This window comes from Homo sapiens, chromosome 11, assembly GCF_000001405.40.
Source record: "Homo sapiens chromosome 11, GRCh38.p14 Primary Assembly".
Lineage (NCBI taxonomy): Eukaryota > Metazoa > Chordata > Mammalia > Primates > Hominidae > Homo > Homo sapiens.
The window spans coordinates 55,711,998-55,733,286 of NC_000011.10; the positions used below are offsets into that span (position 1 = coordinate 55,711,998).

Consider the following 21,289-nt stretch of genomic DNA (forward strand, 5'->3'; position numbering starts at 1 on the left):
TTTTTTTTTTTTTTCAGTTCTCCACAAGAACTTTCCTGGAGTCCGTTAATCTTTGCAAAAGAAGCGTTAGTAAATGAATGAATAAGTCAATTTATTCTGTACTTAAGTGAGTTATTCAATTCTTACTTTATATAACTTTAGAAGGAAAAGAGTGTGTTCCAACAATCTTTGCAGGAGGCAAACCCATATGTAAATCTAACTGCCGTTCCGTTAACTAGGAATATTATCTTTCACCATATTTATTATTATTAATTTGCCTGTATTCTTTTTATCACAATATTCTTCTTCTTTTTATGGGCACAAACTTTAGTTTTAATAAGTAATAAGAATTGTATGCTATGTTGTATAATTTGCAATTACATGCATTATGCCTCGGAATAATTCTTAGAAAAACAGTTTTGAGGTCAAGGCCAATATTTTATAATTTTACAGTTTCTAAAATGCCTATTACAGTGCTGAGTGCATAGCAAATGCACAATCGGATAGCCATGCTGGGTGTCACTACAAAAGAGGGAAAGCCTGTGCACGGCACCTTGAGCCCTCATTCAGCTCAAAAAGGGTGACACTTCCTGGGGCTAAATGGGAGATTGTGAACTTTGGCCCCAAGTCTTTCAGTCAAGAAATAAGAGTGTAGGAAGTGGGTTCAAAAGTGCCACACATAGAAAAGATGTTTGGGTAACAATAAGTCGAATATATATTATAAAATACATATCTTTGATGGAAATGATTTTCTTTTCAGGCCCAGTCTGCTCAGAGTTTGTTAGAACATCCTTAGGAAAGAATACAGATATTGGAAAATGCTTGAAAAAGTATGTTCAGTTAGGAAATTTGCACTCAATGAGTTTTGTGTCAAACTAAAACATAAGTTTAGAAAATAACAACAAATGTAGACGGTCAAATCACAGGTGTCAAATGAAGTGAATTTAAAGGAGCAATTAAAGAAAGAAACTGCATGGATATGTAAGTTGTACATAAAATACTTTTATATGTAACCCTAACCCTAACCTATATAAAACCTATATAATTTTCTCTATATATAATCATATATATATATATATATATATATATATATATACACTGCATGCACTTATGTTTTCTGCAAAATATAAGTGCGTGCAGTATATTCTCTTGGAGACTAAACATTGTAACAACTCAGTGTAAACTATAGAGTGCTTAATTTCACCTAATGATAAAGCATAGAATTTTTACAGAATGCTGTGTGGAATGGTGTTCTTTCTATGCCTACTGCTATTTTAGCTTTCGGTAAGCAGTCATGACATGGTTCTGGATTAAACTGGCACAAAACAGTAATTGAGTTATTTTGAATGAACTCAGAACATTTTTTAAAAATCCAATACCTCATTTTCCCTTCTAACTCTCCTTGTTTTATTCTAATTCAAGATGCTTAGGTCCCATGGGGTTTCACTATAGCTACTTGTTCTGTAGGACTCCAGGTGTGCCTCAGTGCATTGTGAGTTTACAATGTGGTCCTGATTTAATAGGCAAGTCCAGCTTCTTTAGTATTATTATAAACTTTTACCCCAATACATGTATAATATGTGGCTAGATTTATTCACTCACATATACATTCATTTATTCAATCAAGATTGTTGAGAATCTACTATGTCCTAGCCTTCCATATTTGCCCTCATTAATATTATTTTATTGTAGAACAACAATTTGTTGAAATGGCAAAGAAGAAAACATGAGTAAAATATATATTATATTACAGATGTTGCATAATATTGATATTTTTCAGGGCTTATAGTTACTGATAATGACATAACTACTATGACCATGATGAATGAGTCAAGTTGAGATAAAATTATTGGAAAAGATGAAGAAACTAAAAGTATAGGATATAAGAAAGATTATCTGTGTCTCTATTGTAAGCAATTCAATGCAAACAAAACAAAACAAAAATGTCCTAACCAAATAAAAACCATTGTAATTCTTCAGGAAGTGATGTCTCATCTTTGAAGATTTGGAGAACTGAATTTTGACCACCTGAGAATGTTGTGGCAGAAAGTACTTCAGAATAATAAAAATGATCTGGATGTATTATTATTGTTTGCTCCCAAACCAAATCATTCTAAATATCTGATATTATAATATATCAAGAAAAGGAAACAGATTTTTTCAATAATTATATAAATGTGGCTGATCAAGTGCATCATTCACATTATACAGGAAGGATCTGAAATATGTGGAGATAAATGTGTGATTAAATGTAGGGAGGTCATTGGAAAGGGAAATTCAGAAATAGCTATAGAAACAACTGTTACAAAAATGTAATGATCATTTTACTCCATCATTAATTTCCTTTTTAGAGTTCCAAGTTCTCATCATTTAATAGGTGAAGAAGTGAAAAAATTACCGAAACTCAAAATAAGCATTGTATTGAAATGAAATAAAATGGAAATGCTTATCTTCCTCCAAGATAAGCGTTTTCACTAAACTCTGACTCATGCAAAAGGTAGACTGGCCCTTCTCGTGAAGCCAGTTGCGTCTGAGGCTACTGAACCGGATGGTTTAAAATATACCAGAGCCAACGGCACTTTTGTTCTTCCTCTCTCAGTTCCCATATTTTATTATTACATTGACATACATTTTATATGCACTGTATAATTGTGATATTAGCAAATTCTAGCTTTTGAAACAATGTAATTGTTGAAACTAAGCATATCCATAAGTCTTTTTATAAATAATCACTAAACCTCTCAACATTTCCTCATTTTACTTGGCCTTGTCCAAATATTTCTTCTTGAATCTCTGAATCAACTTCCCTATTTTGTCCCAGGGACCAAGAAAATCAGACTTCTGAAGTCACCTTCATCCTCTTGGGCTTCTCAGAATATCCAGACCTTCAGACGCCCCTGTTCCTGGTGTTCCTGACCATCTACACAGTCACTGTGCTGGGGAATCTGGGCATGATCATAGTCATCAGGATCAGCCCCAAACTCCACACCCCCATGTGCTTTTTCCTCAGCCACTTGTCCTTTGTTGATTTCTGTTATTCCACCACAATTACACCCAAACTGCTGGAGAACTTGGTTGTGGAAGATAGAACTATCTCCTTCACAGGATGCACCATGCAGTTATTCTTTGTCTGCATATTTGTAGTAACAGAAACATTCATGCTGGCAGTGATGGCCTATGACCGATATGTGGCGGTGTGTAACCCTCTTCTCTACACAGTTGCAATGTACCAGAGGCTTTGCTCCTTGTTAGTGGCTACATCATACTGTTGGGGGATAGTCTGTTCCCTGACACTTACCTAGTTTCTACTGGAATTATCCTTCAGAGGAAATAATATCATTAATAACTTTGTCTGTGAGCACGCTGCCATTGTTGCTGTGTCTTGCTCTGACCCCTGTGTGAGCCAGGAGATCACTTTAGTTTCTGCCACATTCAATGAAATAAGCAGCCTGCTTCCTATGCTTTCATTTTTATCACTGTCATGAAGACGCCTTCCACTGGGGGGCGCAAGAAAGCGTTCTCCACGTCTGCCTCCCACTTGACGGCCATTACCATTTTCCATGGGACTATCCTTTTCCTCTACTGTGTTCCTAACTCCAAAAGTTCGTGGCTCATGGTCAAGGTGGCCTCTGTCTTTTACACAGTGGTCATTCCCATGCTGAACCCCTTGATCTATAGCCTCAGGAACAAAGATGTAAAAGAGACAGTTAGGAGGTTACTCATTACCAAATTATTATGTCTCATATTATAAAATCTAGAAGTCGTACTTATTCCTATTGAAGAATATTGTGCAGAACTGCCCAAAAGTTGTAGAATTGCTAACAATCCAAATCCCTTTTTCAAACAGTAAAGCAGTGCATGTACTTAATGTAACCCCTACTTAACTGGTTATTTGACATCTGTTCAAATTCTAGTAGATTAGCTAACAAGTAACACAGTAATTTAATCTCTAATGATTTAACTTATCATTAAACTCAGAATTTGTCATGTAAAGATTTCTGAGTTAATATACATTACCCTATTGTTGCTCAGTTAACCTTCTGTTCTTTTTCAGTTGTTGGAGAATGGGCTTGTAGATTTGTTCTGAAAAATTATAGCTTACCATGAAGGAAGATATAGCAAATGCAATACAGTAAACTAAGACATGTTCAGCACTCAGACACTAAGTTTAAAAGTAATATTTATTTAATTCCACATAGGGCACATTGGTATATTATAAATGTGTATAAGGCGTAAGTCTGCCCACAAAGTCCAGAATATGGTTTGGTAAAATTGTATTGGTTAACATAAAATTTTATTTGATCATTGTACACAATATATCAAAAAATGAAAATAGCCACATATTTTAGAAATAGACATTTTGAAATCTGAATTTGTCATTCACTACAATCTTGATTTTCATATAAGTTATAAATTTGATCCATAACAGAATACCATAAATGTCAGTGATACATAACATTAGGTAATTATTAATTTTTTGTCAATTGATTTGGCAGTCCTGATAGTATCAGCTGGTGCATCTTGGTTAATATTATCTAGTCTAACGGGTCTAACGGGAACTCATAGACCTACATAACGATTGAGTAGCTCTGCCTCTGTATCTATGGTCCTCTGAACCATTGGGCTAGCTGGAGTATTTTCTTCCAGTGTTGATGGGTGAGTCACAAGGGGAAATGTACAACAAAAGCTAGTTCAAGCTTCCATTCGCCTCATGTTTTTTAGCATTATTTTAGGCAAAGAGAATCACATTGCTGGGCTCAAAGTTAATGACTGAGGAAGGATATCTGCCTCTTATTGTAGAATTGAAAAGTTACGTGGCAAATAATGTAGATACACAGAGGAATGAAGGATTCTGCCTACTATTTCTATATATCTAAATTGTTGGGAAATTTTAGTTAATGGGAAATTATCCTTCTTATTCCAGATAAATTTTTGTCCTAGTTTGACAAAAGTCTTCTGTAAATTGATGAGAAATTTAATCGACTTAACTAAATGACTGTTTTTGTTGATTGTCACTTGCTGTTGATAGTTAATGTTTAAGAGGAAAGACAAAGTCTTGGTAAATTTCCATATATCATGGTTCCTGTATTCCTGACTCTCATGTTCAAATAAAAATGGCAATTTCCTTTGTTATAAAGTTTATTATAAAACTATTTAACCTAATCCATTTATCTGATTGTTTAGCAATACATAAAAATATTTTTTAACAAATCATATTATATAACTATAGTATTGCATAACTTATTTAACTTCTAATTGTTCATCAAACAGAGGACATATACACTTAAGTAAATGTTCCAGTCAAGTACATTAATAGGTTTTGTGTATGTTAACAAAAACATTTTAAGAAAAAAGAAAAATGCATTTAGAGAATGTGAAAACAGTATAAAATGAACTATACTTGGCACATTCTAAAGGTCCTTGGATTTAAAATCCTATTTGAAAAAAAAAAGATAGATATTAGGTAAATTATAATTTGTAAACTATAATTAGCTTTCTATATTGTAGGAGAAAACAAAACAATAACTTTGAAGAAAACGGGTTTATTACAGTAAGATGGCTGTGAACATTTCTGTCGGAATCTTTGTAAAGGCACATACAGCACTTTTATTTCCTTTTACAAGTACCTAGGAAAGATAGCCGAGTCATATGGTAGGTGTACATTTAATTTCTTAAGAAGCTTCCAAATGATCTTTAAAGTGGCTGTACCATTTAAAATCCTCCTAGCTGGGTATGATACTTCTGATTGTTCCCCATCTTGGACAAATAACTATATGGTCATTATTTTCAATCTTAGAAATTCTTACAAGTATGTAATGGTATCTTATTGGATTTGTGTTTGCATTCATCTGATAAGTAATTAAGTTGAATATATTTTCATGTGATTATTGGTTATTTGTATTTTTTTGATAAAGTCTATGTTCAAATACTCTGCCTATTTTTAATTGCAATTCTTTTCTTATTATTGGGGCTTGATAATTATTTATATATTGTAGATACAACTCTTTTTTCTCCTCAAATGTGTGATTTGAAATATTTCTTTGAATATGTGGCTTATCTTTCACCCTCTTTAGAGTGTGTTTTGAAAAACAGATATTCTGGATTTGTGTAATAATGTATATAGAAATGCAAAGTAAGTGAAATATCCAAAAATATTTTTAAAAGAGAATGATTGGAGGAATTGAAGGTTTACTGTAAAACAAAAGGAAACAAACCAGTATGGTTTAGGTATAAAGACAGACAAATTGAGACTATAATAGAATAAATAAAATAGAATCCAGATATAATCCAAGAAACATATAATCAATTGATCTTTGAAAACATATCTGAAAAAAACTGGATAATTGAATGGGGGAAAATAACCTCATTTCCTACCTCTCTCCATAGAAAATTAATTCGATATTTATTATCAAATTAATTAACCATAACAGCTGAAACACTAAGGCCTCTGGAATAAAGAACAGGTGATTATCTATATGAAAATCGACAAATGAGACTGTCAATAATTAAAAACTGCCTATCATCAAATTAGATCATTATAAAAAGAAGAGACAACCCATAGATTAGAAGTAATTACCTGTAGACTGGGAGTGTATATTAACAATATATAGAGTTGTCAATTACTAAATATATATATATAACAAATAATAAGAAAATTAAATTAAAATAGACTAATGTGCAATTACTTTGTAAAAATATATAGATGGATAATAATCTCACAAAAATATTCCAACAATATATGTTTTCAAGGGAATGTAAATTAAATATCACTATGATTGCTTGAAGTTTCAAAATAATGAATTTTTTTAAAAGGCACAAATACTAGTTTTCAAAAGTTTTCATTCCCTGTGGTCACATCATCTACTAAAATATCGCTTTCCAAAACTTTTAGATATATATTTTGAAGTGTTCTCTCTAGCTTTTTTTATGTTCTCTATATCTCTATCTTTGCTGCAAGTTGTATCAGTTCCTCACAGATGTCACAAAATTTATTAAGTTTCTGTAATAGCTTTTTGGCCTTAGAAACACCTTTCATAGTCTGGTGAAGCATATGAGATCTTCTTTAGAAAAACATTTAAAAATAAAATGGATATAAATGTAAATCAAACATATTATATTTCTATAAAATTACCAAATATTAAAAATATTAACTTTATGGACTTGTATAATATTTGTGCTTTATTATTCATATTAGATAATATCTACATACATGCACATTAACTATTATAATTTGGAATAAGGATGATCATAGTAATATTTTTAGGTAGGTTATAATATATAAATAATAAAAATATATCTGTGATTTCTATGGTTAGAGTATTGCTAACAGTACTGTGGTTTGTGGTCTACCTTCATAATTAAAAACACACTAAATTTCAGTTAGAGTTAAACAAAAATAATTATGAGTTTTTTCCATATTATTTCATCATAAACTAGCAGATCATTTAAAATACGTTGTACACTACGTTGTATAACAGATCTGTAGAACTTATTCATGTTGCATAACTGAAAATGCGTACCCCTTGAGCAACAGCTCCCAATTTCCTCCTCCCCCTAGACCCTGGTAAACACCTTTCTACTCTCTGCTCCTATGAGTTTGGCTCTTTTAGATACTTCATATAAGTAGAATCATAATAGTGTAGGACATTTTCTTGACTCTTTCACAGGTCTTGCAACGGGGGTGCCTTGTTTACTCAGTCTGCCCTGCTCAACCCCTTGCTGAAGGGAGCCTGAGAGTGAACCAGTACAGGAACTGGAGTGGGCAAGTGCAGAACCAGCTGCTTTGGTGCCAGCAGGAGCAAACTCCATGTGAGCCGCAGGGCAGTGTCCAGGGGCCGTGCCCGTGACCCCCAGGCCCCAGAGGGTGTGTTAAAATGCTTCCTTAGCTGTGCTTTCTGCAGACAGCCATGTGTTACCAGCTCAACGGGCCCTTTGCCTCATCACATGAGGAAATTGCCTTCCACCAGTAAGGGCAAAGGGCCAGGGTGACAAACCTTTTAGGTATCCACATCTGGTGCATCCTGAATTTTTGTCTGGTGCCCAAGACGAATGAGGTCATGTGGACGAATTGAAAGATGGTGAATGTGGAGAATTTTATTGAATGATGAAAGCTGCTCTCAGTGGAGAGGGAGGAGCTGGAAAGGGGATGGGAAGGGAAGGTTGCTCTCCCCTGAAGTCAATCCACCTTTCTGACTTTCTTTTCCAAAGTCAAGTTGCTTCATCCAGCCACTGTCTTTGAAGTCAAAGTCACCTCTCTCTGACATCCAGCCACTTCTTCCTGAGGTTCAGCCACTTTTCTTCTCTGCTAGCTGGGTCTGGGGTCTTACAGGCACAGGATGGGGGTGGGGTGAGCCATAGGTAGTTTTGGAAAAGACAACATTCAACTGGTAAAAAGACGTTATTCAGAAAGAACCAATCAGGGGAGAGCAGACACATAGGGATGGAAGTTCTCACTTAGGGCCACGGGTTTCAGGCTGTTTAGCTTGAAGGTGGGGTTTTGCCAAAGACCTGCCCTTGTCTGCCTAGAATTTCTCTGCCTCCTGTCATTATCAATAACATATTAGTACTTCTGTTGCTCATTTATCTAATTTAGCATAAGGCCCTCTAGGTTAATTTCTGTTATCACATATAGCAGGATTCGCTTCTTTTTAAAGCTGAATAATATTCCATTTTATGTATATACCAGATTTTTTGTGTCCATTCGTCTGTCAATGGGCTTTTAGATTGTTTCCATATTTTGAGTATTGTGAATAATGCTGGAGTGAACACAGTAGTGTAGATATCTCTTCAAGATCTGGATTTCAGTTCTTTTGGTTACATACCCAAAAGTGAGATTGCTGGGTCATATACTAATTCTAGTTTTAATATTTTAAGGAACGTTGATATGTTTCCCATGGTGGCTGCACCACTTTATATGCCCATCAACAATGGACAAGCATCCTTTATCTCCACATCCTTGCAACACTAATTATTATTATTATGTTTCATCATAGCCATACTAAAAGGTATGAGGTGATAGCTCATTGTGGTTTTGTCTTGTAATTCCCAGATGACTAGTAATTTCATCGTCTTTTCATGTACATATTGGCCACCTGTATGTCCATAATGGAGAAATGTCTGTCTAAATCCTATGCTTGTTTTAATTGGCTATTTCCCTTGTGTTGTTGAATTGTAGGAGTTCCTTATATATTTCACATATTAACTTCTTATAAAACATATGATTTGCAAATATTTTCTTCCATTTCCTAGGTTGCCTTTTCACTCTATTGATTGTTTCTTTTGCTGTGCAACTTTTTAGTTTGATACAGTTCCACTGACCTATTTTCACTTTTATTGTTTGTGTTTCTGTTGCCATGTTCAAGAAATAATGGACAAAACCAATGTCGGGAAGATTTTCCCCTATATTTCCTTCTAGGCATTTTACAGTTAATGACCCTAAATTTAATTTTTTAATCTTTTTTGAGTTGACTTTTGTGTATCATGTCAGAAGAGGATCTGACATCATTCTTTTTTTTTTTTTTTTTTTTTTTTTTTTTTTTTTTTGAGACGGAGTCTCGCTCTGTCACCCAGGCTGGAGTGCAGTGGCGCGATCTCGGCTCACTGCAAGCTCCGCCTCCCGGGTTCACGCCATTCTCCTGCCTCAGCCTCCCGAGTAGCTGGGACTACAGGCGCCCGCTACCACGCCCGGCTAATTTTTTGTATTTTTAGTAGAGACGGGGTTTCACCATGTTAGCCAGGATGGTCTCGATCTCCTGACCTCGTGATCCTCCCGCCTCGGCCTCCCAAAGTGCTGGGATTACAGGCGTGAGCCACCGCGCCCGGCCTGACGTCATTCTTTTGCATGTGGATATCCAGTTTTCCTAACACCATTTGTTGAAGAGACTATCCTTTTTCCCATTATGTATTCTTGGTACATTTGTTAAAGGTTAGATGTCTGTATGTGTGTGGGTTATGTCTGGGCTTTCTATTCTGCCCAATGGTCTATGTGTCTGTTTATATGCTAGTACAATACTATTTTATTTATTGCAATTTTGTAATATATTTTGAAATCAGGAAGAGTGATGCCTCCAGCATTTTTCTCTTTTTTTTCTTGTTTCCTTTAGCTGTTTTGATCTTTTGTATGTTTACAAAAATTTTAGTTTTCTATTCTATTTTGTAAAAATAGAAAAGAAATCTAGATCTATGTGATTTTAATTGACATTGCATTAAATCATTACATATATTTGAGTAGAATTAACATTTTAACATTAAGTTTTCTAATCCATGACCATGGGATGTGAAGCATAAAATTAACAGAAATATGGAAATAATAAATGTTAGGAAAGAAATAAATGAGATAAGTAATATAAAAAACAATACAATAAATCAATAAAACTCAGGTTTTTAAAAAATATAAACATAATTGGCCAAATAATAGGTGGACCAAGAAAAAAAAGAGAAGACTCAAATATAATCAGAAATGAAAGAGGAAACATTGCATCTAACCGACCAATGCTATAGAAATTAAGGATCAAAATTGACTACTATAAACAATTGTATGCCTAAAAATTGGATGACTTATAAGAGATAAAAAAAAATTTTTAGAAATGTACAAGCTACAATAACTGAATCATGAAGAAATAGAAACTCTGAACAGATCAAAGACTAATAACAAGATTGAATCTGTAATCAAAAACCTCCCAACAAAGAAAATGCGGGACAAGACGGTTTCACTTGTGAATTCTACCAAACATATAAAAAGTACAAACACTAGTCTTTCTAAAAACATTCCAACAATTAAAGAAGTGAGAACACTTTGAGACTCATTTTATGGAACTGGCATTATGTTGATAACAAAGACAGACAAAGATACTACAAGAAAAGGAAACCACAGGCGAATATACTCAATGAACAGATTCCTATTGCTTTTCTATCTGTAGTTCCTTAGTTGTATCGTGTCTGAGACACCATCAGCTCTTTTGCCCTTGATTTCCCTATGTGCGATATGAGGTCCTCTGCAATGGAACGAGCTTTTTTCTGAAGACACGTTTAAAGGAGTGTTGCATGATTCCCTCTTCCTCACATGCAAAATACAACTATAACCTCAAATGTACCATGATGATGGCGAAACACAAGTAGAAAGGAACATGAGCCCCTGCATTACTAACATGTAGCAGAGATGCCCAATGTTTAGGAGTGCATTTTGGACCTGCACTAGTGAGAAATAAGTCTTTATTCTTTAAAAGCATGTTAGATAGAGTACCGAAATTAATGGATATATCATCCTTTCCATAAAGTGGCATTTTCCATAAACTGGTTTATTTTTAGAAACATGTAACCCAGTTTTTTCCAGATTCAACAGTCAGCATAAACATCTGAAGATCATTTAGCCATATTTAAAAAGGCAAACACAAATTGTTTTCTATTAAAAAAAACAATAGTGTGACTACCAAATGAAGTTTGTATTACTAACAAAGGATAAATAAAAGATGTAGCATTATTTAGTCAGCTCTGTATTTCAACATATAATAACATAAATATATCTTCATAAAAAGAGAAAATAAATTCAACATGAGGTAATGATACCTATCTCTGGACTATTGTTTTATAGCTGATTTTTCCCTTTCACATTTGTATTTTACACCTATGTAAAGTCAAGATATATTCACTATTACGATTAATTAAGTGAAGTTGGTAAGATAAATGTCAAGGGCTTTAGAAAGGCACTATACAAACAAGATATCACATGGGACAGTGTTATATCTAATTGCTCAAATGGTAGCCTCCAAGGCAATACTTCAGTGATATTCTCTAGTCACGAGGTCCCCAAGGCCTTGGGGGCAAATATTTGTGACACAGTTTGGTGCTAGGACTTAGTTTCTAGATGTGACCTTATCTCTGCTATCTATGAGTTTTCTTAATAGGTTGGGTAAAAAAGTAACATTTAAAATCTTCAAGGAAATATACTCTCGACACTCCTACTGTTGTTTTCAGGTTTGTTTCTATTAATTAAGTGCTAAGCGGGAGCATTATTGGAGTTCGTTAATTTCAGCAAAAGATCCTTCAGTAAATGAATCACTCAGATGCCTCTGTATTTAGGTGAGTTGATTTAGTTTTTTTAAAATTTTATTTCAGAAGGAAAATACTGAGTTCCGGTAATCTTAGTACCAGACAAACACACGTGTAGGTTGAAGTGCCCTCAAATCCACTTAGTTCATTCAACAAGCAGAGGACCTATGTTGTTATATCCTGATTCCTTCTCCCTTTCAAATGATATCAATTCTGATTTTCTCATTCGGCTCCCACCATGTACTCAGCAATGAAATCAATACTTTGGCAGATAAAGAAGAATAAAGCAAAATTGGCCTTATCTTTAAACTTTCTATACTTTCTGAGGAGATAAGCGAGACTAATAACCAAATCTGTAAATGATAGGATATGGTTTATGGTAACTGTGAGTTATAAGCACTAATGTTTGCAATATATACAGAGGAGAAGAAACAATGAGTAATCTTTACAAGAGTAGATGGTAAAATAAAGCATTATAAAAGTGAGAATAGATAGAAAGCAAACTTTATGTAAATGAGCATGTGCTTTATAATAACTTGATACATCTACCATGACTTTGAGAAAAATGTGTTAGTGGTAATGAGATTGAGTATCTAGATCTAAGCAGTTTGGGAAAATCCAGTCTGCACAATGCAGTTTTCATGCATTCATCAATAAAAAACATTTGGAATTGTTAAAGTCATTGGCTCTCAGGTTAAAGTGATTACAGAAAATTATTCTTGCGATGTTGCAAAGGACATTTCAAATTGAGGAGAGTGACTGGGAAATACAGTCATAATCTAGTTTTATAGTGTTAAGATTTTTATAAATAATTGTTTCAGGGAAATTGCTGAGTAATTGGTCCTTTTGGAAGATATCTTTCCTACAGGCACAAGCTTGTGGGAACTAGAGAAAGCTATTGTGTAATGGAAAAACATAAAGGAGAATGGGGAAAATATAGTTATGACTTAGACTAAAGCCACAAATAAAATTCTACAGTACTTCCATTTTGTGGGTTCAGGAAACTGATTCTCTGCATTGTATTCACAAATGTGTCCACATGTTGATAGCTGTCCCATATAGGCCTCATTTCAATAACTACTTAAGGTTTCTGAAACCACACTAATTAGCTATAATTCTAATAAATATAAAAGTGAATATCTAATATGCTTTATACTGTGTTTTATAACCACTACATTCATTAGCAATCTTTCTGCTTCCATTCTACTGATTTAAATTTTATATCATGAATATATTATCACATTTTACCATTGAGGAAATGCCTTGTGGCATCAAGGCATATTGAAAGAATACTATGGTGTCCTGTTTGAGATGGGTCTTCCTGACACTTATTCTTGGCAAAGCTTTAAACTTAAATCAAAAGGACAGAATGCAATTTTCCTAAAAACTAATATTTATTTGCAGTACTCAGTACTTTCATGTTTATTATTGTTTGTCACCTACCTGTCTTCTGAGATTTGCCACATCAGAAAATGAAAAACTTTTCATTTAAAATTACTTCAACTATTTTATCACTACAGAAACATACATCACATATTTTGTTGCAATAATCTTCTCATAAGTGATATAATACATCATTAAAAATAACATGAAAATTTTTTCAAGTTGAGTTCAACATGCATGAGAAAGATTAGCATATTAGTGTAACACAGCTCCAGAATGTGTTGAAAGTATTGGATTATAAGGAATGAGAAAGGTGTTAAAAATAAAACCACCAATAAACTGTTAAATTTACCATTTTACAGGAATGTTAACATTTTACAATTTGTTAAGAGTTGTAAGTTAACTGTCTCAAAGCTTTAGAGGTACAGCAGGAATGAAACTGTAGAAAAGTATATATTTCCTCCAACAGAAATATTTGCACTTATCTCAGATTCATGCAAACTTAGAGTGGCTCTTCTCATGAAGCCTGCTGTCTTATTATCTGAAATATAGGAAGGTATACCCTGTTTTGTTTTTCCTGTCTTAATTTTGTTTTTTATTATTCCATTCACAAAATAATCCTATTCACCTTGTAATTTTTATATAAGTACTCTACCTTTTGAAATAATTTGACAGTGGAAACCTAGAATTTTCAGCAACACTCTTAATAAAGACCCACTAAGTCTCTCAATATTTCTTCCTTTCTGTTTCTTATTGCACATATTGGCTTCTACTTCTCTGGATCAACTTTCTTATTTTTTTCTCACAGGATTCAAAAAAATCAGACTGCTGGAGTCACCTTCATCCTCTTGGGCTTCTCAGAATTTCCAGACCTTCAGATACCCCTGTTCCTGGTCTTCCTGACCATCTACACAATCACTGTGATGGGGAATCTGGGCATGATCATGGTCATCAGGATCAACCCCAAACTCCACACCCCTATGTACTTTTTCCTCAGCCACTTGTCCTTTGTTGATTTCTGTTATTCCACCACAATTACACCAAAACTGCTGGAGAACTTGGTTGTGGAAGACAGAATCATCTCCTTCACAGGATGCATCATGCAATTCTTCTTTGCCTGTATATTTGTGGTGACAGAAACATTCATGCTGGCAGCGATGGCTTATGACAGATTTGTGGCAGTGTGTAACCCTCTGCTTTACACAGTTGCAATGTCCCAGAGGCTTTGCTCCTTGTTAGTGGCTGCATCATACTCTTGGAGTTTAGTTTGTTCCTTAACATACACATATTTTCTGTTGACTTTATCTTTTTGTAGGACTAACTTCATTAATAACTTTGTCTGTGAGCACGCTGCCATTGTTGCTGTGTCCTGCTCTGACCCCTACATGAGCCAGAAGGTCATTTTAGTTTCTGCAACATTCAATGAAATAAGCAGCCTGGTGATCATTCTCACTTCCTATGCTTTCATTTTTATCACTGTCATGAAGATGCCTTCCACTGGGGGGCGCAAGAAAGCGTTCTCCACGTGTGCCTCCCACCTGACCGCCATTACCATTTTCCATGGGACTATCCTTTTTCTCTACTGTGTTCCTAACTCCAAAAGTTCATGGCTCATGGTCAAGGTGGCCTCTGTCTTTTACACAGTGGTCATTCCCATGCTGAACCCCTTGATCTATAGCCTCAGGAACAAAGATGTAAAAGAGACAGTCAGGAAGTTAGTCATTACCAAATTATTATGTCATAAAATGTAATGCTAGAAATATTAATTATTTATCCTTGAGAGCAGCACTGCAGTTGTTCAATAACTAGTCATTGCATGAAATTATGATAACCCTCCAACTGACAGTACAATATCTATTCACACTGATGTTTAGTAAAATAACTTTAAAGTTATAAATACTGTAAGTATGGAATCTCAGACCATTTAAACTAAATTTTTGATCGAGAATATTGTAATACAAAAGTTTTTGTGTTAGTATACGTTTATTGTGATTGTCCAGGTCAAATTTCAGTTCAATTTAAATCTTGCAAAATGTAAAAATTTTTGAGATGATCTGAAGAATAGTAGTTTATAATGAGGAAGTTTACCTGATAACATAAAATTACTATGATAAGAGCTGTTCAGTATAAAACACTATCTATAAAATAATTACAATTAATTCTGTATGGGCAACTTTGGCATTAGAAGATTTACAGACAAACAAAAATAAATAAGAAAATTATCTTCCTTACGAAGTCCAGAATCTGGTAAAGTTAAGTTATACTTGGTATTATAAATTATATTTTTCTTTATGCATGATAATAAGAAGATGGTAAATATTTTTGCAAATAAATGCCCATCACCCTAGTTCTGCCACTGATGCCAATATGATTGTGCATGTTATTTATTTATTAAAAATTTTATTGAGATAATTTTCTATTCATTTTCCTTTGTAAGAAATAATATAGAGGAATTCCAATTATCTTTTAACCAGTTTCCCCCTAAGATAGTACAATATAACAACCAGGATAATGATATTGAGATAATACACATACATTATTCAAGCATTAGTTATGTATTGATAAAAGAAATATTCATAAACTCAGTGATATCTAACAGTAAGCAATCCTTTCAAATAAGTGACTTGACTGGGGTAGCTCTGTTGATATCAGTTCGACCATTTGGGTGTCAAGAATGGGGTAACTAGATCAGCTACCTTTGGAACTAGAGACCTGTATGTATGTCATCTTCTTTGGACTCTTTGGCTGATAGTCTTTGTTGAAAGCAGAGCCACAATAGAGTATTCCAAAAATAAAAGCATACTTAACGTTCCTGTTTGGGTCTCACCTGTTAACATTTTATGAGTCAGAGAAAATCACGTCCAAGCCCCAAAGCAAGAGTTGAGAAAGTTATCTATTTCTTGTAGAACTGCAAGATTACAAGTCAAGAGTGATGGGTACAGGGAGAAATGAAAAACTGGGTTCAAAATTGATTGAAACATTTACATCTTTAAACACATTCTTCCTTGATAATGCCAGATAACTTTACTGCAGAAAACAGATAACCCATGGCTCTAATTGGTTTTAGAGAAGTTTTCAAATAATTGAAATAATTTGATTGCCTTAACCAAATGGCTGGTTGAGATTAAGTATAAGAACTTACATTTTCTCCTTGTGTCTTGCCAGTCATGATTAAGGCTTACAAGCACAGAATATGAAGTCAACCATGTGTTGAAGGTCCAATCCAAGCTGTTAAGTGATACTTGTTTCCCCTCAAGGTTTATCTTTATTTCCAAATAAAAATTCAATAACTTTTTACCTTAATGCTTTACACCAACTTACATGTCTATGCAACTTACTGTTTAGGAATATACAACAAAATTCTCAACACTTACAGAATACAGCAAAAGTAACAGAGGATTTACTTTAATTTTTAACTGTAGATAATGAGTCATAATTAAATGCTCTAGTCGAGTATTTTTAAAGCTGTGTGTATGTGTGTGCATATGTGTATAGTTTAATAAAGATGTTAAGGAGCACAAAAAAGGATTTAGAAAGTTTGAGTATGCATCGCAGAATATTTAGTATATTCAATAAGGTTTCCAGGATAAAGTTAGAATATACTATTTTTAAATATTGTTTTGGAAGATGTAAGCTGTAATTTGGTAGGTTTCTTTTAGTACAAAATAAAAATCAAAGAAAAAAAGAATAGTTGCTAATCCCTTTAATACAAGATTTTTTTATTTTGGTAAATGTTCATAAATGGGCAGTTTACACAAATATAATGCAATTTCCCCCCCAAATTCTCAAATTATACTTTCAGTGTGAAAGCAAACATGTTAACTGTGAAGATAAATACATTTTAGATAATGTAAGTGAGTTTGCTAATGGTCATATTAAGTGATAGCTATGGGCTATTTTTTTTCTACAAATACATTTGTATGCTGCTCTTCTTTTAAACTTTTGGATACAGTAGGTATAAATGTGACTTTTTTCCCATGGAGGGCTGTGGCAGGACATTTGCTATCATATGCACAATACTAAAGCAAGTTATATAGTTTAATGCTCACTTCTTAGTGGATTAACAACTATAAAAATTATATCTGGACCATTTTATGTAAATGTCAACTTTCATATTATGTTGACTAAACAAAGACGGCATCAAAGATTGTATTAGTGTTGGACAAATATATCATTACGTGATTATATTACATAACACTTTGCTTACGTGAGTGGTTTTTACTGCTATCAAACATAATAGGAAAACAGAGTCCCTATAAAGAAAATGGAAACATATATGATTGATTAAGAAAAGGATAAATATTTGATTCAATAGTCAGTATTTCCTGCTTATGGCATTCTCGATACATAGAATATTTAAGCTCAAGGATACCTTGTTGGTAAAAGTTTTCCCCTGAAACTTGTTGTCATGCAGTTTAAGCACCAGGAAAAAATCCTAAGGAGAGTAAATAACAACAAGCCTGAACCTGTGGATCTGAGAGAACCAAAATTCAGGAAGAATTTCTGGAGGTAATTCTTGGCTATTTTAGATAACAACTTATAAACAGAATATAGAATACAGCAATACTAATAACAAAGTTTTCACATAAATTTCAACAATATATGAAACAAGTTGTATATTATTCTAGGAATTTAAAGTGGATATATCATTTAAATCTCATCAATGAATTTACCATATTAGCAAAATAAGGGAGAAAAGCATATGTTTATTTCAATTTATAAAGATATTTATTCAAATTTATATCTTGTATTAGTCAAAATTCTCCAGAGAAATAGAACCAAGGGGATGGATATCTGCTTAGCTATATCTATATCTGTCCATAGAGAGGTATTTATTTATTTTAAAGAATTAGCTCATGCGATTATAAAGGCTGACAAATGCTGAGAACTTCAGGGTAAATTAGCAAGCTGGATCCCAGGGGAGCCAATGATGAAATTCTAGTCTAATTTGGAAGGCCCAAGAACTAGAGAGCCAGGGGTGTATTTCCAGTCAGAAGGTCAACAGTTTTGAGACCCATGAAGAGCTGATGTTCCAGTTTCAGTCTATAGGCAAACACCTAATGTCTCAGTTCAAAGGCAGAAAGAGGAAAGAATTTTCCTTTGCTTGGGAGAGAAGTAGCCTTTTGTTAGACTCAGGCATTTACTGATGGACGCGTCCCATCCCCATTAGCAAAGGCAATCTACTTTACTTAGGCTACTGATTGATTTAGTTGTTAATCTCATCCAAAAACACCCTTATAAAAACATCCATAATAATGTTTGACTGAATATCTGGGCACCCTGTGGCCCAGTTAATTGATGCATACAATTAACTTTTATGCACTTGTTCATAATAAAACAAAACAGAAGAAAACAAAAGCTCCCAGAAAAATAGAAATAGAAATGTCTTAATCTTTTACCTACCAAATCTGTAGGTAAATATCACAATTAAGGTTAAAATAATCGGCTAGGTGCAGTGGCTCCTGCCTGTAATCCCAGCAATTTGGGAGGCCGAGGTGGGCGGATCACAAAGTCGGGAGATTGAGACCATCCTGGCCAACATGGCAAAACTCCGTCTCTACTAAAAATACAAAAATTAGCTGGGCGTGGTGGTGTGTGCTTGTGATACCAGCTGCTCAGGAGGCTGAAGCAGGAGAATGGCTTGAACCAGGGAGTTGGAGGTTTCAGTGAGCCGAGATCGCACCACTGCACTCCAGCCTGGAGACAGAGTGAGACTCTGTCTCAAAAAAAAGCAAAACAAAATGAAAAAACAACAAAAAAGAGAAAAGAAATAATAGAAGCTTTGTTTTAAATTTCAACTCAAGAGAAGAATGTTCATTATTTCCACTTCTGTGGAAAGGTTGTTCTAGACAATTGAGTAAGACAGGAAAAAAAGAACATTAGTGAAGACAGAATAACACTTTCATGTTTTAAGATAATATAATTGTATGAACATCCAAATCCAAAAAGATCTATCAAAACCAATTAGAGTTAGTAAGGGAATGTAAAAGATCTCTCAATGTAAGATAATTAACATTTTTTTTCCTAGATCTGTGATATCTGTCTACATCCTTCCACATTGTATTAATCCCAGCATCCCTCAGCTTTAGAGATAGTAGTTCTTTTCTGCAGTAACCACTACTGTGGTATATTAAGGTTTTGTGGGGTTTTTGCCTTTTCATCAATTGTTTAACAATTGTAAAAATAATTTTTCTGTACTAAATGTTATGTTTTGAAATCCCTAGAAAAGATTGTGTTTTTCTCGAATAGACTCAGACTCTTGGTAATAATGTTCTCTGAACTAGACCTTCAAATATGGGTATCTAATCATACACTTGGCCGTGAAGACAGGGCTAAGCATCTTTAAAATAGAAATTGTATTCAGTAATCCATGGTGTATAGTAACGTGGCTAACTAAATAATCCTTTGTGCATGATTATAATGAAGTGCTCACTGAATCAAATGCCTGGAGGACTGAGGTGGGGGTTTCACAAAACTGTCATGGAAGTGGTGGTGATTACAAGAACTGGGATCTTCTGAATGCCTGGGAGAGCTTGCAAAAAGATAATAAAAATTCAGGGCATCCAAATGTTGGCATAATTTACTGTCAGAGAACTAGAGATATTTAAGACACTGGGCAAGTGTCCTCAATTTCTTAGTGAGAAACTGATGTGTCAGAGATGATGTCTTAAATAAATCCTATAAAAATACAAGTATTCTTAACATCAGAAAAGAATTCTTTTGATCTTGTGTTCTGCAGAATGTTGAGATATCCTCTCCAAAGCAAATGACAACTTAGGGCAATTTGTACTGCAATTAAGTGATTTAAAATGTACTGCGTCTTTCAGTTATGGAGGCAACACATATCACACTTGAGTAAGCTGTCGCAAACCATTCAAAAAGTAACCTTCAGCTTGCCTCTCTTGCATAATTCCTTACCAGACACTCTTATTGTCCCACCTCTATCTTTTGAATTTTACTCCCAGTGATTGTGGTAGTCAGCCATACATGGAACCCCCAATGATCCCATTCTCTGGTATTCACATCATTGTGGAGTCTCCTCCCATACTTTACCTGGCTTGGTCTGTGTGATGAATAGCATGTGGTAGGAATGAGAATACATAATACTTGAGGTTCAGTCTTAACAGTCTGGATTCTCTCTCTCTGTCTTTTTCCACCTACATTAGGTCTCTCATTCGGGAGGAAGTGGCCATATTTGAATAACCCTGTGAAGGGACCTTTGGGATGAGGAACCTAAGCTTCTGGCCAACAGCCTTCAAGGAACAAGAGGTGCCAGCAACCTTGTGAGTGAGCTTGGATGCAGAAGTTTGACATTGTTTAAGCCTTGAGATTACTGTAGCTCTGGAAGGCTGGTTGCAACCTCATGGGAGACTCTAAACTTGGAGCTAAGCTGCTCCTGGATTTCTGATGCATAGAAACCATGAGGTAATCAGTGTTTATTGTTTCAAACTGCGAAGTTTTGGGGATACTTTTTAGCTGTCAATGAATAATTAATGCAACTGTATTAGTCAGTTCTCACACTTCTATCAAGAACTACCTTGAGACTTGGTGATTTATGAAGAAAAGAGGTTTAATTGACATACAGTTCACAGGGTGTACAGGAGGCAGGTCTAAGGAGGCCTCAGGAAACTTTCAATCATGGCAGAAAGGTGAAGAGGAAGCAGGAATGTCTTCTCATGGCTGGCAGGAGAGACAGAGTAAAAGGGGAAGTGTACACACTTTAAACCACCAGATTTTCTGAGAACTCATTTACCATCAGGAGAACAGCAAGGGGGAAGTCCGCCTCTGTGAATCACCTACCAGGTCCCTCCTGCAACACTGAGGATCACAATCGACATGAGAGTTGGGTGGGGACGCAGAGTCAAACTATATCAGTGGA

General features: G+C 34.5%; 1 protein-coding gene and 1 pseudogene across 1 annotated transcript; both read left to right on the plus strand.

The window, feature by feature from the left end:
- On the plus strand, positions 3,000-3,636 carry OR5D2P (olfactory receptor family 5 subfamily D member 2 pseudogene; annotated as a pseudogene).
- OR5D3 (olfactory receptor family 5 subfamily D member 3) lies at positions 11,779-17,624 on the plus strand. The gene is made up of 2 exons (NM_001396059.1): positions 11,779-12,057; positions 14,219-17,624. The coding sequence occupies exons 1-2, from the start codon at positions 12,029-12,031 to the stop codon at positions 15,159-15,161; spliced, it is 972 nt and encodes a 323-aa protein (NP_001382988.1). The 5' UTR covers positions 11,779-12,028; the 3' UTR covers positions 15,162-17,624.
- The last annotated feature ends 3,665 nt before the right edge of the window (positions 17,625-21,289 follow it).

Coding starts and splice junctions, on each gene's coding strand:
- OR5D3 (NM_001396059.1), top strand. CDS start 12,029: ATGAATCACTCAGATGCCTCTGTATTTAG. Junction 12,058..14,218: donor TCAGATGCCTCTGTATTTAG/GTGAGTTGATTT, acceptor TTTTTCTCACAG/GATTCAAAAAAATCAGACTG.